This window comes from Homo sapiens, chromosome 3, assembly GCF_000001405.40.
Source record: "Homo sapiens chromosome 3, GRCh38.p14 Primary Assembly".
NCBI classification, from domain to species: Eukaryota; Metazoa; Chordata; class Mammalia; order Primates; family Hominidae; genus Homo; species Homo sapiens.
The window spans coordinates 37,308,764-37,333,267 of NC_000003.12; the positions used below are offsets into that span (position 1 = coordinate 37,308,764).

Sequence of the window (24,504 nt, forward strand, 5' to 3'; positions counted from 1 at the left end):
TGCCACTACGCCCAGCTAATTTTTTGTATTTTTAGTAGAGACGGAGTTTCACCGTGTTAGCCAGGATGGTCTCAAACTCTGACCTCGTGATCTGCCCGCCTCGGCCTCCCAAAGGGCTGGGATTTCAGGCGTGAGCCACTGCGCCTGGCTAAAAGTAAAAATTTTAACAATATTTGTTTAATTCATTTTTAAAATAACAATTATAGGCCGGGTGTGGTGGCTCATGCCTGTAATCCCAGTACTTTGGGAGGCCGAGGTGGGTGGATCACTTGAGAGCCAGGGGTTTGAGAATAGCCTGGCCAACATGGTGAAACCCTGTCTCTACTAAAAATACAAAAATTAGCTGGATATGGTGGCGCGTGCTTGTAGTCCCAGCTACTCGGGAAGTTGAGGCAGGAGAATCGCTTGAACCTGGGAGGTGGAGGTTGCAGTGAGCCAAGATCACGCCACTGCACTCCAGCCTGGGCGACAGAGCGAGACTCTGTTTCAAAAATAAAAATAACAATTATAGGCCGGGCGTGATGGCTCATGCCTGTAATGCCAGCACTTTGGGAGGCCGAGGCGGGCGGATTACCTGAGGTCAGGAGTTTGAGACCAGCCTGGCCAACATGGTGAACCCCGTCTCTACTAAAAATACAAAAATTAGCTGGGCATGGTGGCACACGCCTGTAATCCCAGCTATTCTGGAGGCTGAGGCAGGAGAATTGCTTGAGCCTGGGAGGCGGAGGTTGCAGTGAGCCAAGATTGTGCCATTGCACTCCAGCCTGGCTGACAGAGCGAGACTCTTGTCTCAAAACAAACAAACAACAACAACAAAAAACAAACAAAAAAAACCAGTTATAAATCCATTACATGTTAGCATAAATACTTTTTCATTCTACCTATATTTTCCAAAATAAGGTTTAGTGTGAAGAATGGCCTTGTTTTACATTTTTGTTATCTCATTGCTTGGCTTAATAAAATGCAGCTGGATTTTCATGCCTGTTTCTGCATTTAATCCGTTGTGATGTATTATTTTGGTTGAAATATGGGAAGAAAATCTACTCTTACATAGACACGTATTTGGAAAAGGGAGAATCTCACAGATCCTCTGAAAGGGTCTCAAGACCCCAGGATCTTTGGACCACATATTGAGAACTGCTGCTGTAGACTTTGATTTTATTTGCCAAAGAGGCTTGATGATTCAGTGGGAATTCTGATAAAATTCTTTTTGTTGCTTTTTCTGTTAATTTGCATTTCATTCATTTTGTAGTGCATTTCATTCACTCATTTTGTTTGTTTGTTTTTGCTGGGATAAAGACAGGCATTGGCTTACTTACTCATTCTTCATGTCATTAACCAGCTTGTTAGGATCATCAGTTAATCTAGAGGTTAACAGCCTTTTCACACTTCTGCATTTTTGTTTATTTCCTACACTGGGAGTAGAAGTGGGTCTTGTTAACCATATAGTGAAGTGTTCTCTGGGGCAGTGTAACAAAATAGTAATGCTGCATGAAACCTCAGAATTCTGGCATTTCTTATTATAATTGATTAGGATACTCAGGATGAGGAGTATCCTAAGAAGTGCTGGAGTAGCAAAAACAATGCCACATTCTTCCTAGCTGTATCTAAGGATTAGTTATTTTATTCCCTTTTCTTACTACTTCAGCTATCTTTTTGTGAAATATTTTCTTTGTCACTTAATACCTAGCATATGCTTGGCAGTTGGTAAACAGCTGCTAAGTATGTATTTGATGACTGAATGGTTGGATTATTGAGCTACAGATTGTCAACCTTTCTCATTTAACCCTTATAGAGAGCATTTGTCCATTTTTATAATTCCCATGGATGTGAGTGAACCTCATCTGAACTGGAAAGTGAGGAGCTAGCAATAAAGGGTCTGCCCTGCATTTTACTTAACTGACAGAGGATCATACTTACAGTTCATTAAAGATTGACCTAAAAGTATTTTTAAAGTGTGTGTGTGTGTGTGTTTTTTTTTTTAAATAAAAATTGCCTGAGATACATTGAATTTTGCTTTGGAAGAACACAGTGTGTTCTTGCAACATTCTGCGGCAGTTCGTGCTTAGCCTTCCTATTGATGTGTGCCGTGACTGTGGTTTTCCCATGCACTCTTGCATGTTGGCAGAAGACTTGTCAGCTGTGACTGATGCACGCTTTATTTCTCCCCACTCACTTATCTTTTGTTGGGAATTTGAAAGATAAATTGTCTAGACATTTTGAACATACTTTTTTAGTACTTACATTAAAATCCTAGTTTCACTTTGGAAAGGGTAGGGAATTCACTTTTAGAATATTAGTAGGCTGTGGGCACCATTTCTAGGGGTTACAAGGTCAGGTGAGATGTTTCTGGGTAGTAAGTAAACTCTCAGTATATCCTCTTTAAACATAGTGATGAGACTCAGTGTTGGAGGCAGATTTCCTGTGAGGAAGTGGCTTCATTTGTGATACAGTGTAGAATCCATAATGGGTTTGAAATACGTTTTCTGTGTTTGGATATTATAAATATATAAAATATAAATGCCTTTCCCCACCACTGTTTTTGGCCAGTTAACATTTCCTTAAAGCACGATGGGGAGGCAGAAAGCAGTGAGTTTTGTGTCAGAAAGAAGTATAACATACTGCATTTTGTTGAGAGTTAAAAGCCATTAGTAATTGATTGGCTCAGAAATTCTGCTTTAGTAAGAAACATTATTGCCCAATGGAGCTCGATCCATTTCAGCATTCTTAGTTTTTAAAAATATGGCAAGGTATGGATCGTTGCTTAAAGCCAATTTTAAAGTTCTATCATCAGGCTTATATATTCAAGTTGATTTAACATCTGAAGGAAAATTTGGATGCTTCAGTTACCATATGTCAATGAAAGATTTCAATGGTTTCTTTCTAGGTGTGAAATTATTTGGTTCCCTGACATGGTACTGGAAAGTGGGAGAGAGGGTTAAATTTAGATGAAAAGAACTGTGAAACCAAATCCATCCTACTTTCATTGTTGTATGATGGATAATAAATTGACTTGGACAAACTTTTAGTGGATTAAACACTAAAATTCGACTGTATATAGAAGAATATCCTGAAATTTACTGACTAGATTAGAAAACTTAATTAGCAGAAAATTATATCTAAACAGGAACTTGTGGCATGGATTTTTTGTTGTTTGAAAAGGTGAGAACATTACATTTATTTTTTTATACTGTGCTGGATTCTGGAATTTAAAAAATGAAAACAGAAAATTCACTAGTATTGACTACATAGTTTTGTTTTATTTTACTTAATTGACAAAAGGTTTTCATTTAAACTCTTATTTTGCTGAAAGGGTATCAAAACTGTCTTCAGTTTCTCCAGAGCCTGATTGAAGATATTTCTGTGAATTACTCAGAAATGCTGAGATGCAATTTTATATGCTGGATAATAATGAAAAGGGGCTGATGACACCTAAGCATTAAAAGACATTGTCATAACCTTTTTTCATTCCTCCAGCGTTTAAACCTTCAACACAAACTAATTAGGCAGTAAGCACTTTGTTTCAGAATCTTTCCCATAATTAGTCACTTTACTTGACTGATTTTTTTAAGTGAGGGAACTAATTTCTTGTTAGTAGTAAGCGTTCATTATTTCCGTATTTTCTGTATGCTTAACGTTAGAATTTATAGTAAAAGAATATGTAAAACAAAGATACCATTTTTGTTTCCAACATATTTGTATCTAAGGATTATCATCTTGGGGTTTGCAGGCAAATGCCAGTAAAGTTAGAATAGGAATCTTTTTTTTTTTTTTTTGAGAGACAGGGTCTCACTTGTCACCTAGGCTGGAGTGCAGTGGCACAATCACTGCTCACTGAAGCCTTGACCTCCCAGACTTAAGTGATCCTCCCACCTCAGCTGCTCAGAGTAGCTCAGACTACAGGTACAAGCCACGGCTCCTGGCTAATTTTTAATTTTTTTGTAGAGATGGGATTTCACTGTGTTGCCTAGGCTGGTCTTGAACTCCTAGGCTCAGGCAATCCTCCCACCTTGGCCTCCCGAAGTGCTAGAATTATAGGCATGAGCCCCCCACTGCATCTGGCAATAGGAATCTTTATAAATGATTTCAGCTAATTAATATTCCTTTGAAATTTAGACCTTATTTGAGTATCAGTTTTATACTTTGGACATATAAAATAAATTGGATAGATTTGCTTTTCATATAAAAGATAATCACTTTGGGAGGCCAGCGCGACGGATCACGAGGTCAGGAGTTTGAGACCAGCTTGGCCAATATGGTGAAACCCTGTCTCTACTAAAAATACAGAAATTAGCCCGGTCTGGTGGCGGGCACCTGTAGTCCCAGCTACTCTGGAGGCCGAGGCAGGATAATCGCTTGAACCTGGGAGGCGGAGGTTGCAGGGAGGGGAGATCGCGCCACTGCACTCTAGCTTGGGTGACAGAATGAGACTCCATCTCAAAAGAAAAAAAAAGATATATGGTTGCCAGATAAATTATTTTTTAAACTATTGAGCAAACTAAGTTGCATTTCTCTGTTGTTACCAGAATTCACCCTTCTCTTGGCAATTTGCCTTTAATAAAATGCTTTAGAATAGATGTTTGTCTTCAAGTTTGCAATTCCTGTGCCCAAACCACTGTGTTAAACCAAATTGTTAATGAAAGACCTTTTTTTCTGAGCTGCCATAGGTTGAAGTTCCCACATTTCTTATACCACTGGAAGTGAAAATATTATATATGTCGGTGAACAACTGTCTCCCTGGGACATACGTTTCTTGGTAGGATTACACACCCATCTTGAAAACTGAGTTTTGTTTATAGTCTATCTCAATGGTAGAGGGAAGGCTGGAGACTTCTGTGAGGACTAAAGGAAACAATCTAGGATGACAGTAGCAGTAGGATTTTCCTAGGGTATCATTATGCAAATAATGCATGTGTGTGTGTGCATGCATACATACATATACAACCCACATATATGTACACATATACACAGGCATATACAGATCCTCCTTGACTTATGATGGGGTTAGAATTTGATAAATTCATTGTAAGTTGAAAATACCAATATCAACTTGTGAAGGGCTTATCCAGACATAACTTTATTATTAAGTGGAGGAGTGTACTGAATGAGTATTGCTTTTGCACCATTGTGAAGTTGACAAATCTAAGACCATCATAAGTCAGGGACCATCTGTATACACAAATACACGTAAACACACATGTATTTTTTTTTTTTTTTTGAGACAAAAGTCTTGCTCTGTCGGCCAGGCTGGAGTGCAGTGGCACCATCTTAAGAAGCTTGCTGCAGCCTCTGTCTCCCAGACTCAAGTGATTCTACTGCCTCAGACTTCCAAGTAGCTGGGATTACAGGCATGTGCTACCACACCAGGCTAATTTTTAGTAGAGATGGGGTTTCACCATGTTGGCCAGGCTGGTCTTGAACTCCTGACCTCAGGTAATTCACCTACCTCAGCCTCCAAAAGTGCTGGGATTACAGGTATGAGCCAATGTGCTGGGTCACATGTATGTATTTTTGGTGCCAAGTTACACACCTGTTGCACCCGTCCTATCTGATTTTGTTTGATAATGTTGAGCTGTTTGGCTTCCTTAAAGACCTGGCCAGATGCAGTGTCTCATGCCTGTAATTCCAGAACTTTGGGAGGACAAGGTGGGTGGATCACTTGAGGTCAGGAGTTTGAGACCAGCCTGAACAATATGGTGAAACCCAATCTCTACTAAAAATACAAAAATTAGCCAGGCATGGTGGTGCATGCCTGTGGTCCCAGCTACTTGGGAGGCTGAGGCAGGAGTATTGCTTGAACCCGCGAGGCAGAGGTTGCAGTGAGCTGAGATCGCACCACTGCACTCCATCCTGGGTGACGGAGCAAGACTCCGTCTCAAACACACACACACACACACACACACACACACACACACACACGAAAAAAACCTTACTACTCTAGCCAAGATGATTATTTTTGCAGAGCCTGAATTCTTCCTTATCTTACCCAAAAACTCCCTGCTGTGGTAGTGCCTTTCTGTAATACTGTTGAATCAGGTAAAGATTTCTTTCTGGTCACCTGGAAACAACTCTGGTTTGAAACTTATACAAATAGTAAGTTTCATTTCAAAATATTCAGCCAGTAAATGTTTAAAAAAGAAACAAAAATCTCTGCTCTTTTATTATATAGTTAAGAAGTTTTTAAAAATAAAATATGCCTAAGAATAGTTTTTCCATTCTTAAAAGTGTCATAGTGAGTATATAATAGTGTTACATAATTATTGATGATAAGAACTTTAGAGCAAACGAAAAACAATTGAAATTATACAGTACAGAAATAGGGACATATCTTCATTTCTTTAAATGTACTATCCATAAGGAAACTGGTAGAGAATGGAGAGCCTTCAGTAATTTATTTTTTCCAAACTTCTAAGCTTAGGCTCATATAAACAAGTCTTAATATCCTAATCCAGAACTCAGTGACAAGTTGGTTTTGGTGACCGAACGTTTCTTGTGGCTTTGTTCAACAACTCCAGTATCTCTTGGCTTAGAACAGTGATGAGTTTTTTAACCTATCCTGCTACTGCTGCTCTTAGTTCTCAAAAATTGAATGTAAAACACTTTAGCTCAATGATAATATTTCTTGAGATACTTGTTTTCTGTTGTTTTCATTATAGCTTTTGAGGAACTTGAAAAAGCTTTGAGTACAGCCCAAAAAACAGAGGAAGCACGGAGAAAACTGAAGGCAGAAATGGATGAACAAATAAAAACTATCGAAAAAACAAGTGAGGAGGAACGCATCAGTCTTCAACAGGAATTAAGTCGGGTGAAACAGGAGGTTGTTGATGTAATGAAAGTAAGAATAATTCTGTAATGAAATGGGCTACAACAAATTTGAAATTTAAGTGTATTTTTCCTTACACTCTTTGACTGTAAAGAAGAGTTTGTTTGTATTTTAGACATTGACTGTTTTCTGATATTCAGGTTGTAAAATTTTTGATAGATAAATGCATTTAATACTTAGGTAATTCTTTGGAACCTTTTAAGCTTTGCTTTCTCTCCAGTGGACTATGTTATAAACTGAGATGTGCCTTAACTGTTCTGTGGCTCCCCGACTCTTAGGCACCTTGAAGATAGGCTACTTAGCTGCTTCAGTAGTATATCCTCCAGAGAACTTGGCCAAGAAGGTACTTGCCTAATGTGTGTTGAGGGAATGAGGGAGTAAGTGACTGAGGGGCTAGATTGTTTAAATGTTTTAAAGGATCATTGTTACTTAATGTTCTGATTACTCTTAATATAGATAGACCTCACTTTAAAAGTTAGCTTTTTGGAAAGATCTCTTAGAAATTAATGAATTTTTAAAATCCCATAGATTTTCAATTTTTCAGAAATATGAACATGTCATCATCATGGCCCCTCCCTGCTCCCAGCTTCCTTCCTCACCCATTTTTTTCTGCTTTTTTTTTTTTTTGCTTGTTTTTCCTCCTGTCATGTTTGCCTTTCTTGCCACTTTGCTCATTTTATCCTATTTCTTTACTGACTCCCCATTTATATTCTTGATATTTGATTATGGCCACTAAAATGGCTTAAGATAAATTATAGATCTGAATAGATGAGGCTTGGATTTCAGAGTTTCAATATGCATTTCTATAACTCATGGTAAGGTTTCTGTGCTTTTACTTATGAGTGCATAACAGGCATTGAGGGGGGCAAATTATATTTCTTTCATTTTCTTCTTCCTGCTGAACTATAGGTAATTTGCAAAGCAGAAATTATTTGTGGCCAATTATTGGATATATAAGACCTTAACTATAACTGCCTGACTATATTTTAAGTTTTAAAATAGTCATATGATGTGATAAGTAATGTTATCATGGACTCCAACAACTTAAAAATAATGTATTATTTTGAAAGGTGATAATATAGACATATGGTATAAAAATCAGAAGATATGAAGTATGTAGTGAAAAGATTCCCATTTTCCCAAAGAAAAGTGGTATTTTCCTTTTTGAGTATATTTCCCAGAGATAGCCTGTGTATATAATTTCTCTTCTCTGATTTTTTTTTCTTTTCCTTATAGATGGATTTATTAGGCTTTCCTTTAAATGGTATCTGAATTTTTTTTTTTTAACTTAAAAACCACATGGACAATCCTGACATCGTTTTTAAAAATTCAGTTTTTTCTTTTTTTAAACACAAAAGACAGCATGTTATATAGAATGTTCTATATTTTGCTTTTCCACTTAATAATCTTTCTAGGAGATTGTTCCTTAGCCATTGGTAGTTGATAATTCATAGTGATACCCCATTTATTTTAAAGGCTGCTCAAGATTCTATTGTATGAATGTCCTGTAATTTAATCAGTTTCCTATTGATAGATATTTAGATTGTTTTCAGTTTTTGCTATTGCAAGTTATGAATTTTTTTTCTTTTTCTTTCTTTTTTTGAGACAGAGTCTTGCTCTGTCACCAGGCTGGAGTGCAATCTTGTGATCTCGGTTCACTGCATCCTCCGCCCCCCACGTTCAAGCAATTCTCCTGCCTCAGCCTCCTGAGTAGCTGGGATTACAGGCGTGTGCCATCACGCCTGGCTAGTTTTTGTATTTTTAGTAGAGATGGGGTTTCTCCATGTTGGCCAGGCTGGTCTTGAACTCCTGATCTCAGGTGATCCACCTGCCTTGGCCTCCCAAATTGTTGGGATTACAGGCGTGAGCCACTGTGCCTGGCCTGTGAATATTCTTATCCATACTTGTTCACATTTGTATTTATTTAGGGTAGATGCCTAGAAGTGGAATATTAACTCAAGCAAAGATTACATGTATTTTTAATTGTTGCCTAGTTGCTGTGAGGTCTGTGGAAGACAATTTATACCCTGACAAGCAATGTATTAGAATATATTTCCCCCCAATAAAGATGGCATTATCTAACTTTATCTTTCCAAGTTTATGTTAAAAAAATTAATATATATAACTCTTAGCAGTATGATAAATATTTTTTTCTATTTATTTGGCGAAATCCTTGACTCACTTTTCTATTGGGCTGTTGGTCTTTTATGGATTTGTAGAAGCTCTTTGTTTATAGTGAGAATTAGGCCTTTGCACATACGTCCTTTTAGCCAAATAATTTTCTCAGTTTGTTATTTGTTGACTTTATTTACAACTTGTTTTCGTAGAAAATTTTTTTTTTCCTTGTAGTTGAATTTATAAGGCTTTTCTTTAAATGCTATGTGGATTTTTTTTTTTAATTTAAAAACACATGTTCGGTCCTGAGATCAGTTTTTAAAAATTTGATTTTTTCTTCTGGCACTTTTATGGTTTCATTTTTTTTTTACTGTTAACATCTTTGATCCAACTGAAACTTATTTAGTGTAAGGAGTGAGGTAAGGATTCAACTTAAATTTTTCCCAGATGGCTACCAAATGGTCTCCAAATCATTTATTTAGTAATCCACATTTCTCCTTCTGATATGCCATATTATCTTTTTTTTGTAGAGACGGGGTCTGCCTGTTTTGTCCAGGCCAGTCTTGAACTCCTGGGCTCAAGCAATCCTCCTGCCTTGGCCTCCCAAAGTGCTGGGATTACAGGCATAAGCCACCATGCCCCACCCATATTATCTTTAATACACACTAAATTATTAAAGTATTAAATGTGAGTTTTTCTTTCTGCATTCTCTGTGCTGTTCTATTGCTTTGTCTGACCATGTGCAGCTGTTTAATTTTATAATATGCTGTTTGGTAGCTTCTTATTATTACTCTTATTTTTTGAAATAGTGTTGGTTATTCTTGCATGTTTATTTTGTCCAGTGGGCTCCCCCATTCTGTTTTTTTTTAATATATATTAACTTTTTAGATTTATATAATGAGATTTGACATTTTTATGAGATTGAGGTTTCCTATCCAAAAAAAGAACAAGGCCTGTACCTTTTAATAAATAGTACATGCCTGGAAAGCTGGCCATAATTTGATTGGTGCAGCGAGGGCGCACCTTCACCAGTGTAGTGCCCTCTCTGAGAGCATCCTTATTCCCCAGCTGTGCTCCCCTATCCTGACTTGTAGGGAACATCCCTGCAAGATGTGGAAATGGAGTCTATTGTAGCAGTAGCAGCACTTGTCTTAAAATAAGAAGAAAACTACTGGTTATTCTTTTAACTATCATGGCTTTGATGACTTTGATCTATGCAGGAAATGTGTTTTCTCTTAGGAATGTGATTTTTTCTTCTTAAAAACTTATTAGTTTGAGTAAATTATAATAGTATTATTTAGTTGTGGAGTTACATATTTTATTCTGGGTGTCCTTATATTATCTATTTGGCTCATTTTCAGAAATCCTCAGAAGAACAAATTGCTAAGCTACAGAAGCTTCATGAAAAGGAGCTGGCCAGAAAAGAGCAGGAACTGACCAAGAAGCTTCAGACCCGAGAAAGGGAATTTCAGGAACAAATGAAAGTAGCTCTTGTAAGTGACTATTTTTTTTTTTCTGCTATAGGTATACTTCTCAGAGTTACAAAGTTATCATCCTCTCACTGTTGCATTCCAGTTGGAAGTCAGACTACTGGCAGTCTTGACGTTTGGGTATAAAGAGAGGATAGAGAGTAGGCAAGCTGTCAGAGCTTATTAGCTTGGTATTGTGTGAAAATTAAATTTACTGATCTAACACACTTTCTTTTTTTTATGAGAGAGAGTCTCGCTCTGTTGCCTAGGCTAGAGTGCAGTGGTGAGATCTTGGCTCGCTGTAACCTCCATAATCTCCATCTCCGCGGTTCAAGTGATTCCCCTGCCTCAGCTTCCCAAGTAGCTGGGACTACAGGTGCACACCACCAAGCTCGGCTAATTTTTATTTTTTTATTTTTGTATTTTTAGTAGAGATGGGGTTTCACCATGTTGGCCAGGCTGGTCTTGAACTCCTGACCTCAAGTGATCCACCCACATTGGTCTCCCAAAGTGTTGGGATTACAGGCGTAAGCCACCGCGCTTGGCCACACTTTCTTTTTAAAACATTTAAAAAATTTTAACAATTTCTTTCAATATTTATATTTCTCTTTCATTGTTGATGTTCAGTATAACCAACACACTTTCATTAAGCAGTTTGTTTATCCATCCCTCCCACCTGGCAGTAGGCTATGATTAGGGACAAAAAAAGGAAAAGATAGATTAATTGAAGCAGTGACTGCATAATTCAAGAAGAGAGTGCATAATTCAAGAAGAATGTCGAAAATCTCATCAGACTGAGTGTACCCAGAGCTCAAGGCTGAGAAAATTTTGGCTGACTTGCATTTTACAGAAGAAGAAATAAAAATGGCCAAGTAATTTTTATTTTAAGTGGAATAATTTCAGTACTAATTTTCAGTCCATACGATGGCTTAAAAAAGAGTTAAATTAAAAAACTTCCTGAGCTAACAAAAACAACCAGAAAGCAGATTGAGATTTTTGTTGAAAGATTTTTTAAAATAGCATAATTTGAAAGTTTAAAACAAAAAATATTTTTCTTCACTTATGAAAGCCTTTTATATAAGTTGCCATAAAAAAGTGTTAGTGACAAAAATGTAATTTGTTTTTGTATGAAATTATTATCCGTAAGATAATATGTGTAACTCAAAAATGCTTTCCGTGTAAAAGGATAATAAATAGTATTTTAGATTTTAATCTTCTTTCTTACGTGTATTGTTGTTTTCACTCTTAGTTGCATCTGGGGCCCCGAGAATTTCTAGCAGCAGTGATTCTTGAAATGAGTTAACAAGTTCTCTACCCAGCTCTGTGGGGGCACATGGATTTACAGTATGATTGGGTGTCTGTGGTCATGAAATTTACACATATATGGGCACATATTTGTTTTCTTTGTTGATCCAGAAAAGAATTAAAGCATTTTACAAGAATTCTTAAACTGTAACAGTACAACATAAATTAAAAATGGGGGCAAGAAAGTTAAGGAACAAAGTGGGAAATAAATAGTGCTAAAAATGCCTGTCATAAGGACCTACTCTGAGTTTTCATGCTGGGGTAACTGACCTTTGGGGACACTGAGCTAGCCTTAATATACACATGCGTGGGTACCTGTGCCTGCCCTTTTCTTAATTCAGTGGACTATTAAAATTTCCTCCTTTATGGGCATATAGAGATATATTTAAAATATAGTTTACATTAAATAATATAGTATATTTAAATGGATATTTTAAAATTAATGCTATGGAAACTAGTATTTTCTTATCAACCTACTCATAACATGGTACAAAATCTTTCCTTAATTTAAGTAGTGCACTTGAGTATAGTGAACTGAAAGTATTGCAGTTGGCAATATCTGCTCTAAGCAATAGGTATGGATAAGTACACTTGTCTTAATTGGAGTTCAATTAAGAAATTAACATTTAATATGTTAATTGACTGTTAGAAGTACTGTCTAGAGCTTCTCTTCTTAAAACACTAAACACTTTAAATTGAATATTGATACATGAAAGGACAATCAGAGAAGCTTTTCAGGATTGATGGGGTGGTAGAGCCAATGTAGCTTTGTTTTATAGATATTGTCTTGATCTTCCCCATATATTAACAAGTAATCTTCTGATTTCAGTTTGATTTTCCTTGTGGGGTCTCTTTCTAAATGAGATATTCTCACAAACTGTATAAACTTAAAATCTAGTTTCTAGACTTAGAGTAGAAATATCAAACTCTGGAGTGTAGAGATGAGGTAGTAGCAATTGTATGACCTTTCACATTCAGCAGTGTTTCGTAAAACAAGTAGTGGAAAAATAGCAGACATAGTGGGGTTATTGGAACAAAATTTTTCATATCAGTAGTAATTGTGGCAATTACCCCACTGGAAAAGCCATAGTGCCTTGTTTCTGCAGACTAGAGCATGGGAGGAGAGAGATGATGACGTTACCTATCCAACAGGGCTGGGTGCAGATCAAAAGAAATGAATGATTCCTGGGGAAGTACTTTGCGAATGCTGAAGATTTATGTGCGTTTAAGGTGGTATTAATTATTTTTGGCACAGGAAAAGAGTCAATCAGAATATTTGAAGATCAGCCAAGAAAAAGAACAGCAAGAATCTTTGGCCCTAGAAGAGTTAGAGTTGCAGAAAAAAGCAATCCTCACAGAAAGTGAAAATAAACTTCGGGACCTTCAGCAAGAAGCAGAGACTTACAGAACTGTAAGTTTTAATAATATTCAGATTCTGGAGTTGTGAAATTATTTGCATATGAAAATTTGTTGTCTCTAGTCAGTATAAAGTTTCGAAGATTACTGGATTAGATTTATGTATACATGCCCTTCATTTTTAGGTAGTGTGAGCTATGCATGGGAGTGGATTTGGCTTTAGGCTCTGTGTTTATTACATGGTGCTCCTGGTTCTGCCTTTAGCTGGCTGTATTTCTGTCAGCCACTCAGTCTGCTGCTTTTCACTGACCCTGCAGCATCTCCATTGCATACTCACCCTTGATGTCTAGGAAGTGGGCTCATTTTGTAGGCAATACTTGCCCTGGCACCTTTCTGCTTGTCCAGGTTTATCTTATGCCATGTCCTGAACGTAATCCAGCCTCTGCTTATATCACAGTTTAATTACACTAGTGTGTGGCTTTTGCATTTGGTTTCCCCAGTTTTTCCATACTAAACATAGTCCCGTAATGAACATATTTGTGTGTATGTCCCAGAGTGTACGTTTTTTTAAAGGCCCTGTCTGATCCTTTCCTTAGCAGTATTTGAAATGTACAACCTATTTTGAAAACTAACTGATGTTTAGACTTGTTAGCTTTTTTGCTCTGATTTAGATAGTAAAACAGTCATACTTCTTACTCATAGTTCTAAACCATGCTTAATTTTTCCATCACTAACACTTGCAAAAGGTTCCATGGTGGGTGAAATGGACACTTAGGAGGCCTAGATCTTCCACTTGTTAGATTTTTAAATTAATTGTACTTTAATTTCGTCACCTGTCACATGAAGAGATTAGATTCAGTAATTCCTTAGGACCCTAGGACCTTTCCAGCTCTGACATTCTGTGGCTCTGCCTTATTTAACTCCTTCAGAGTCAAAATTACATTTTCATGAGATAATAATAATCTTTGTTAAAATTCATATAAGTTCCTTCTTTATGAAAAAAAAAAGAACCTTCCAAATGATAATTTTGAAGGTGGAAAAATCATACATTCTTTTTCTTCTAAAATTATGAGAATAATAAAATACTATGTAGGCCTTAAAAATTGGAAAAAACCCCAATCTTCCTACCAGAAGTTACTGTTATGAATTTTATGGTTTATTTCTTTTTACTATCCAGTTAAAGTATTATTGAAAATGTAGGTAGCTGAAAAGGTTCCCCAAGTAAATAGAAAGAATCTGAAAGTATGAGTTGGGTTAAACATGTAATCTTTTCTTTCCTTTTGTCTTTTTTTTTTTTTTTTTTTTTTTCCAAGACAGAGGAGTCTCGCTTTGTTGCCCAGGCTGGAGTGTAGTGGCATGATCTCGGCTCACTGCAGCCTCTGCCTCCTGGGTTCAAGGGATTCCCCAACCTCAGCCTCCCGAGTAGCTGGGACTACAGCCGCATGCTACCATGCCCGGCTAATTTTTGTATGTTTTGGTAGAGACAGGGCTTTGCCATGTTGGTCAGGCTGGGTCTCAAACTCCCGGCTTCAAGTGATCTGCTCACCTCGGCCTCCCAAACTGTTGGACTGTGCCTTGCCATAATCTTTTCTTTGTTATATGATTCCTTTAGTAATTGAGCATAGATTCTTTGTCTTTTCTAGTGTTTGGTATGATAATTTTGATCTTCAGGTAGGTGGTAGACATCATGTCTGTGTATCATTGTTAGTAGACAAGTACGTACTTTAATAAAAATGCATCTGTTTTTAATTAACAGAGAATTCTTGAATTGGAAAGTTCTTTGGAAAAAAGCTTACAAGAAAACAAAAATCAGTCAAAAGATTTGGCTGTTCATCTGGAAGCTGAAAAAAATAAGCACAATAAGGAGATTACAGTCATGGTTGAAAAACACAAGACAGAATTGGAAAGCCTTAAGCATCAGCAGGATGCCCTTTGGACTGAAAAACTCCAAGTCTTAAAGCAACAATATCAGACTGAAATGGAAAAACTTAGGGAAAAGTGTGAACAAGAAAAAGAAACATTGTTGAAAGACAAAGAGATTATCTTCCAGGCCCACATAGAAGAAATGAATGAAAAGACTTTAGAAAAGCTTGATGTGAAGCAAACAGAACTAGAATCATTATCTTCTGAACTGTCAGAAGTATTAAAAGCCCGTCACAAACTAGAAGAGGAACTTTCTGTTCTGAAAGATCAAACAGATAAAATGAAGCAGGAATTAGAGGCCAAGATGGATGAACAGAAAAATCATCACCAGCAGCAAGTTGACAGTATCATTAAAGAACACGAGGTATCTATCCAGAGGACTGAGAAGGCATTAAAAGATCAAATTAATCAACTTGAGCTTCTCTTGAAGGAAAGGGACAAGCATTTGAAAGAGCATCAGGCTCATGTAGAAAATTTAGAGGCAGATATTAAAAGGTCTGAAGGGGAACTCCAGCAGGCATCTGCTAAGCTGGACGTTTTTCAGTCTTACCAGAGTGCCACACATGAGCAGACAAAAGCATATGAGGAACAGTTGGCCCAATTGCAGCAGAAGTTGTTGGATTTGGAAACAGAAAGAATTCTTCTTACCAAACAGGTTGCTGAAGTTGAAGCACAAAAGAAAGATGTTTGTACTGAGTTAGATGCTCACAAAATCCAGGTGCAGGACTTAATGCAGCAACTTGAAAAACAAAATAGTGAAATGGAGCAAAAAGTAAAATCTTTAACCCAAGTCTATGAGTCCAAACTTGAAGATGGTAACAAAGAACAGGAACAGACAAAGCAAATCTTGGTGGAAAAGGAAAATATGATTTTACAAATGAGAGAAGGACAGAAGAAAGAAATTGAGATACTCACACAGAAATTGTCAGCCAAGGAGGACAGTATTCATATTTTGAATGAGGAATATGAAACCAAATTTAAAAACCAAGAAAAAAAGATGGAAAAAGTTAAGCAGAAAGCAAAGGAGATGCAAGAAACGTTAAAGAAAAAATTACTGGATCAGGAAGCCAAACTTAAGAAAGAGCTTGAAAATACTGCTCTAGAGCTTAGTCAGAAAGAAAAACAGTTTAATGCCAAAATGCTGGAAATGGCACAGGCTAACTCAGCTGGAATCAGTGATGCAGTGTCAAGACTGGAAACAAACCAAAAAGAACAAATAGAAAGTCTTACTGAGGTTCATCGACGAGAACTCAATGATGTCATATCAATCTGGGAAAAGAAACTTAATCAGCAAGCTGAAGAACTTCAGGAAATACATGAAATCCAATTACAGGAAAAAGAACAAGAGGTAGCAGAACTGAAACAAAAGATCCTCCTATTTGGGTGTGAAAAAGAAGAGATGAACAAGGAAATAACATGGCTGAAGGAAGAAGGTGTTAAGCAGGATACAACATTAAATGAATTACAGGAACAGTTAAAGCAGAAGTCTGCCCATGTGAATTCTCTTGCACAAGATGAAACTAAACTGAAAGCTCATCTTGAAAAGCTAGAGGTTGACTTGAATAAGTCTCTGAAGGAAAATACTTTTCTTCAAGAGCAGCTAGTTGAACTGAAGATGCTGGCAGAAGAAGATAAGCGGAAGGTTTCTGAGTTGACTAGCAAGTTGAAAACCACAGATGAAGAATTCCAGAGTTTGAAATCTTCACATGAAAAAAGTAACAAAAGCCTAGAGGACAAGAGCTTGGAATTTAAAAAACTGTCTGAGGAACTAGCGATTCAGCTAGATATTTGCTGTAAGAAAACCGAAGCCTTATTAGAAGCTAAAACAAATGAGCTAATCAACATTAGTAGTAGTAAAACTAATGCCATTCTTTCTAGGATTTCTCATTGTCAGCACCGTACAACTAAAGTTAAGGAGGCACTGTTAATTAAAACTTGCACAGTTTCTGAATTAGAAGCACAACTTAGACAGTTGACAGAGGAGCAAAATACACTAAATATTTCTTTTCAACAGGCTACTCATCAGTTAGAAGAAAAAGAAAATCAAATTAAGAGCATGAAGGCTGATATTGAAAGTCTTGTAACAGAAAAAGAAGCCTTACAGAAGGAAGGAGGCAATCAGCAACAGGCTGCTTCTGAAAAGGAGTCTTGTATAACACAGTTGAAGAAAGAGTTATCTGAAAACATCAATGCTGTCACATTGATGAAAGAAGAGCTTAAAGAAAAAAAAGTTGAGATTAGCAGTCTTAGTAAACAACTAACTGATTTGAATGTTCAGCTTCAAAATAGCATCAGCCTATCCGAAAAAGAAGCAGCCATTTCATCACTAAGAAAGCAGTATGATGAAGAAAAATGTGAATTGCTGGATCAGGTGCAAGATTTATCTTTTAAAGTTGACACTCTGAGTAAAGAGAAAATTTCTGCTCTTGAGCAGGTAGATGACTGGTCCAATAAATTCTCAGAATGGAAGAAGAAAGCACAGTCAAGATTTACACAGCATCAAAACACTGTTAAAGAATTGCAGATCCAGCTTGAGTTAAAATCAAAGGAAGCTTATGAAAAGGATGAGCAGATAAATTTATTGAAGGAAGAGCTTGATCAGCAAAATAAAAGATTTGATTGTTTAAAGGGTGAAATGGAAGACGACAAGAGCAAGATGGAGAAAAAGGAGTCTAATTTAGAAACAGAGTTAAAGTCTCAAACAGCAAGAATTATGGAATTAGAGGACCATATTACCCAGAAAACTATTGAAATAGAGTCCTTAAATGAAGTTCTTAAAAATTACAATCAACAAAAGGATATTGAACACAAAGAATTGGTTCAGAAACTTCAACATTTTCAAGAGTTAGGAGAAGAAAAGGACAACAGGGTTAAAGAAGCTGAAGAAAAAATCTTAACACTTGAAAACCAAGTTTATTCCATGAAAGCTGAACTTGAAACTAAGAAGAAAGAATTAGAACATGTGAATTTAAGTGTGAAAAGCAAAGAGGAGGAGTTAAAGGCATTGGAAGATAGGCTTGAGTCAGAAAGTGCTGCAAAATTAGCAGAGTTGAAGAGAAAAGCTGAACAAAAAATTGCTGCCATTAAGAAGCAGTTGTTATCTCAAATGGAAGAGAAAGAAGAACAGTATAAAAAAGGTACAGAAAGCCATTTGAGTGAGCTAAATACAAAATTGCAGGAAAGAGAAAGGGAAGTTCACATCTTGGAAGAAAAACTTAAGTCAGTGGAAAGTTCACAGTCAGAAACATTAATTGTACCCAGATCAGCAAAAAATGTGGCAGCATATACTGAACAAGAAGAAGCAGATTCCCAAGGCTGTGTGCAGAAGACATATGAAGAAAAAATCAGTGTTTTACAAAGAAACTTAACTGAAAAAGAAAAGCTATTGCAGAGGGTAGGGCAGGAAAAAGAAGAGACAGTTTCTTCTCATTTTGAAATGCGATGCCAATACCAGGAGCGCTTAATAAAGCTAGAACATGCTGAGGCAAAGCAACATGAAGATCAAAGTATGATAGGTCATCTTCAAGAGGAGCTTGAAGAAAAAAACAAGAAATATTCCTTGATAGTAGCCCAGCATGTGGAAAAAGAAGGAGGTAAAAATAACATACAGGCAAAGCAAAACTTGGAAAATGTGTTTGACGACGTCCAGAAAACCCTCCAGGAGAAGGAACTAACCTGTCAGATTTTGGAGCAAAAGATAAAAGAGCTGGATTCCTGCTTAGTAAGACAGAAAGAAGTACATAGAGTTGAAATGGAAGAGTTGACCTCAAAATATGAAAAATTACAGGCTTTACAACAGATGGATGGAAGAAATAAACCCACAGAACTTTTGGAAGAAAACACTGAAGAAAAGTCCAAATCACATTTGGTCCAACCCAAATTGCTTAGTAACATGGAAGCCCAGCACAATGATCTGGAGTTTAAATTAGCCGGGGCAGAACGGGAGAAACAGAAACTGGGCAAGGAGATTGTTAGATTGCAGAAAGACCTTCGAATGTTGAGAAAGGAGCATCAGCAAGAATTGGAAATACTAAAGAAAGAATATGATCAAGAAAGGGAAGAGAAAATCAAGTAAGTTTTATTTCAGCTTGAATATTTTTATGGCAGTCCTTCTTAATTAAGTCTCCTTTTTTTGTGCCTAATACAGTTATTTTAAATTATTTGGATAAGTTTCACCAACCCAAAATATTAAACATAAATCCAATATGTTAAATATGAGGAGAAATAAAAACAATTTAGGGCAAGTGGCAGTGTTATTCCATGTCCATTTAGGAGAGAAAAACCTTTTCTTGCATATAAGATTCTGGTTATTAGGGACATATCCAAGTAATTATTTTCTTTTTGTTTTGTTGTTTTTAGTATTAGCATTATTATTATATAACATAGATGTGTTTTGAAAAAAAAATTAAAGTGGAAAACAAAAATTCTCTGGTCCCCAGGACCACTACTTAGAGGTAATCATAGTTGATATGTACCTGGACACACACACACACACACACACACACACACACACACTCACTCTCACACTCTCTCTCTCTCTCTCTCTCAAAAATGTTTTCATACAATGAACTCATACTGTATGCACTGTTTTAAAGACCAGGTAGCTCCTTGCAGCTTGTTCTTTGTGTGGCAGCAGTTAACGGTACATTTTTATTACTCAGACAGGAGCAGGAAGATCTTGAACTGAAGCACAATTCCACATTAAAACAGCTGATGAGGGAGTTTAATACACAGCTGGCACAAAAGGAACAAGAGCTGGAAATGACCATAAAAGAAACTATCAGTAAGTAAAATTAAGTTCCATAAGGAACAATTATATCAGCAGAGGCTATAATTTAAGCTTATCATTTTTGCAGTGGTGGTAAGTGCATTAAGTCATTAAACTGGGGAAGAAATAATCCTTGCCCAATAACATTCTCTAATGGGAACCTGCCCTGCTTGGCAATGACTTACCTTAAGGAGAGAGGGAGCAGGTAAAACAATCTGAAAGTATTAGCTAATTAATTACCTTGTAAAGACACTTTTGCTCAGGGAGAGGATACATTTGATCACTGTTGAGCTAGATGTCTCATTAAACATCTTAAAATGCTTATATAAAATTAAATTTCATCAAAATTAATTGGAATGAGAGTTGTTACTGAAATTGAGATACAAATATTAACTCTTGACTAATGTGTTTTCTTGTGTGTGTTCATTTTTATTTATTAGATAAGGCCCAGGAGGTGGAGGCTGAACTTTTAGAAAGCCATCAAGAAGAGACAAATCAGTTACTTAAAAAAATTGCTGAGAAAGATGATGATCTAAAACGAACAGCCAAAAGATATGAAGAAATCCTTGATGTTTGTACCTTATTTCTTCTCTCTCACTTTTGAAATTTAGCTGTAATAGATTTCATGGTAGTGCCAAAGATTTCCTTTTCAAATGTGTTTTTTGAACGAAAAGGGTTTTTTTTTTTGACTCAATATTATTCAAATTAGTACTGTTATATGCAGATTTATAAAGTTGAGTTGATTTCTGCCAGGATTGTAGTTTCCTGATGAGATTCTGCTAACTAGGCAGCACAGTCCCCTTGCTAGTATTGAAGCAACAGTAGATACTAAAAGGAAGAATAGATTCTTTCCCATCTGCCTCACAGATTCTGACTGAACTGTGAGGGGAACCAGACTAAGAATCAAGACCCTGTGCTTCGGTGAAGTCTAAGTAATGGGATAGTGAGTGTGTATTTAAATGTGGCTGCTTAACTTAGCTGGAATCTTTCTGGGAGGGACAATCAACTTTACTCTTATCTCTACCCAGTGTGTGGAGGTTGATTGGTCTCAAGAGAAGAAAGCTGGGAAAAAATGGAATGCATAAGCCAAATCTTTTATATTTAGTGGAAGGTTATTTCAAAATACTTACTCTACTAATGCCATGTTGCAATTCACAGAATATGCCACTAATGCATTGCCATTAGCAAAATAAGATAAGCCATGAAGATACACCATGAAGATAAATCATAAATGCTAGTTAGTACTTTGGACTAACATTTGAAAATGTTTTCAAATGTAATACAATATAAATTGTTCTTGGTTGGGTTACAGATTCTGTAGTTGCTCTAAGCCTTATTTCACTATATGCTAAGAATCTTTTGGTGATTAAGAATTCATAAATCAAAGAATCATACCTCAGCTGACTATGTCAGCAGAAGTCTGAGTCGGGAACAGATTCTAATAATTATTTTAAATGTAATTGAAATGGCTAGAATTCCAAGATATAACACATGCCTATAAATGCCACCTTTTATAATTCTTGAGCTTTATATGTCATTATGAAAAGATTTAAATAATTTCACATTTTCTTATACTTCCATAGAGGATATATGTGCTAAATGAAAAAAAAAAAGTATTATTTCTTGAATGCCTAGAGAGTGTTGGAAGATACAGTAAAGCTAGTTTAGTTCTACTTTTTTTTTTTCTGTTTTTGTTTTTCAGAAGGAAAAGCCAGTTCAGTGTAGTTAAGTAATTTCCCTAAAACTACATAGTGGTAGAGCAGTGATTCTTCATTAGCTTTACACATTTTATAAAAAAAGACTTCTTCCTAAGAAAGGAACTTAGAGAAGGCAGTTATTTATCATGGATAATTAAGTCAGGGAGATTCATTTGCAGGGAGTAAATTGTGCCATAGCTCTAGAATTCCCTTTTGTGAACTATTTCTTTGTCTCGGGATGTGTGGGGTAGCAGATGGTAGACTTTTCTAGACTCATGACAGACCTTTTAGGTAGAAGGGTGAGGGAACAGAGAGACAGGTTACCGTATACCCTTTGACATGGTTCCTCCTTAAAAATCTGCTGTATTTTAGGGAAGTTAATGAAATTGTCCTTCAAGCTTCAGGCTTTGAGTAGTACAGCAAGTGGACAGGAAGTGGAGGGTGGGCAAGGGAGTGGCATGGACTCTTTTCCAAGTTCCTTCCTGTGCCTTGGACCAGCACTGCCACTGGAAATATAATGCAAGCCGGCCAGGCACGGTGGCTCATGCCTGTAATTCCAGCACTTTGGGAGGCCAAGGCGGGTGGATCACCTGAAGTCAGGAGTTCAAGACCAGCCTGGCCAACATGGTGAAACTCCATCTCTACTAAAAATAAAAAAAATTAGCCAGGTGTGGTGGCATGTGCTTGTAATCCCAGCTACTCAGAGGAGGATGAGGCAGGAGAATCGCTTGAACCTGGAAGGTGGAAGTTGCAGTGAGCCGAGATTGTGCCACTGCACTCCAGCCTGGGCGACAGAGTGAGACTCCGTCTCAAAAAAAAAAAAAAAAAAATGCAAGCCACAAATATGAGCCATATTGTAATTTAAAGTTTTCTAGTAGCCACATTTAAAAAAAAAGGAAACAGGTGAACTTAATTTTAATAATATATGCTACCAATGCGATATAACCAAAATACTATCATTTCAACATGTAGTCAATATTAAAAATATATACATACATATAAATTCTTTGAAATTCACTGTGTTTTTTACATTTCATCTCAATTTGGAATAGCAACATTTCAAGTTCTCACTAGCCACAGTTTTAGGGTAGCTAGTGCCTGCTGTATTGAATAGTGTAGCCTTAGACTTTCAACTGCTAGGACTAGGGCTGACTTTGTAATTAAATAGCCAGTCCCCATCCAGACATCCCCAGATATACTTTATCCCAAAGAAATTTTTTAAAAAATGCAAATACTACTAAAAAGGGCTATTAGCAATTCTCAGCAAACACCATATTGCTTTGATTCAAATCCATATTCTCTATGATTCTCCCATTTAAAAATTTCTGGGATTGGAGTTTCATATGGGATTTGTATGTATTATGTAGTAGTGTTTTTTACCCTTTCTTAAAAGCTATTATCAGATTTATGATTTGTCTCAGTGATGACATTGTAGAATGCTGCATTTTTGTCACCTATTAAAATAATTATGTGATTTGTTAATAGCAAGTTTGAGCACAGGGACACTTTCATTTTTCTACCTTGAATGACATTCTTACCATTCCTCCATTTGAAGAAGCTGGAAACTTTTGACATCTTTAATTCCCACTTCCTGTGTCTCTAAACACCATACACATATATATTAATGTACCTATTTTGTCATTAAATCTGCTTCTCTCCCCAGCACAATTACCTGACATATAACGGGCTCACAGGATATGGTTTGAAACATCCTGAGAATCATGTTGCTTGTTCCTCTCCTCTGAACTCCACTGCTGCCACCACAGTCTGTGCTACCATTTTTTCATCTGGCCCGATCTGTTGTATTAATGTCCTACCTAGTCCCCTTACTGCAGTCCTTTTTCCCTAACATAGTCATCTGTCTGTCAGAGTTATTTTCTGTCTGGAAACAAAGGTGTGATTTATTACTTCTCCTCCTAAATATGTGCAGTGGTTTCCCATTGTCACAGTGATACCTCGTCTAGTTTGGTCTGTGTTCCAGCCAAACTCAACCATAGCTTGTTCTTCACTGTGTGTTTCCTTTGTACATGCTTTTCTGTGTGCCTAAAGTCACATTCTCAAGCTTCATAAGTTAATGCAAGCGTTACCATCTCTCTTTTGGCTAAAAAAAGATCGGGGCAGCGGGGGTGGTGTGGTGCATGGCCACGCCCAGTGGCTTATGCCTGTCATCCCAACACTTTGGGAGGCTGAGGCAGGAGGATTGCTTGAGCTTGGGAGGTCAATGCTGCACTGAGCTATGAACGTGCCTCTGCATTCCAGCCTGGGTGGCAGAGTGAGGCCCTGTCTCAAAAGAAAAACAACAAAAAAAATTAAATAAAATTTTTAAATTTAATTTTTATTTAGAAAAATTTTGAATCAAATGTATTCACATGGCTTAAAGATTAAAATAATATTAAAAAGTATTCTTGGAGGCGGTATACATGTATAATGAAAATTGTACCCATTCCTCCTGTGTTCTGTGTCCTCTCCCTCTTCTCCCTCCACCGGCAACCATTAGTTTCTTATACTCCAGTGTTTCATTATGTAAACAAGCAAAAATGAAATATATTCTTATTTTTTATTTTTTTCCCCTTTCCTACTCAAAAGGTAGCTTTTTGAATATACTTTTCTATGTCGTTTTTTCACTTGTTCTTTTTTTTGAAACCTCTTAAATGTAATTAATTGCATCTGTGTTCCTTGTTACTCATATATATTTGTTACTTATGTGATTTTTGTCATATACACATGCGTGTAGGAGTGTATTAATGAATCTGTCCTCTCCCTTAGACTATAAGCATCACTCTGGAGATTTTGTTCTTCTCTAGTCGTGAGAATCTGGCCCAGTGCCTGGCACATACGAGCACTTGATAAATTTGAAGGAGGCAACACATGGTAGGCAGGGAAGAATTCATTTGGGAGAAGGGCATGGTGACTTGCAAGTTGGAGACTCACAAGTAGGGGTGCTTACCAAATAGCCTAATCCCAATCTCAGAGCAGTCTCACTTGCAGAGTAGCTCGTAAGGCTATATTAGATACAAAATTGGTTTCTTTTTAACATTGACTGTATTT

At 36.8% G+C, this 24,504-nt stretch overlaps 1 protein-coding gene across 23 annotated transcripts in view, besides 1 other annotated feature; it reads left to right on the plus strand.

Moving 5' to 3' along the window:
• Nucleotides 1-24,504, plus strand: part of GOLGA4 (golgin A4) — a 123,609-nt gene that overhangs the window by 65,493 nt on the left and 33,612 nt on the right. For 22 of the 23 annotated variants that reach the window (XM_047447981.1, XM_047447980.1, XM_024453457.2 and 19 more), the window contains 6 exons: nt 6,657-6,835; nt 10,300-10,431; nt 12,968-13,123; nt 14,825-19,062; nt 19,653-19,774; nt 20,200-20,330. In XM_047447981.1, coding sequence (XP_047303937.1) covers nt 6,657-6,835; nt 10,300-10,431; nt 12,968-13,123; nt 14,825-19,062; nt 19,653-19,774; nt 20,200-20,330 — 4,958 coding nt within the window. Of the gene's footprint in view, nt 1-6,656; nt 7,167-10,299; nt 10,432-12,967; nt 13,124-14,824; nt 19,063-19,652; nt 19,775-20,199; nt 20,331-24,504 lie in introns of those variants that run through there. The other variant, XM_011533598.4, reaches the window with a different exon arrangement.
• Nucleotides 17,761-17,961: a silencer, noted in NCBI's record as "peak4611 fragment used in MPRA reporter construct". NCBI's record gives its function as "represses an SCP1 promoter by STARR-seq MPRAs in K562 erythroleukemia cells {active_cell/tissue: K562}" and the evidence as "EXISTENCE:reporter gene assay evidence [ECO:0000049][PMID:32103011]".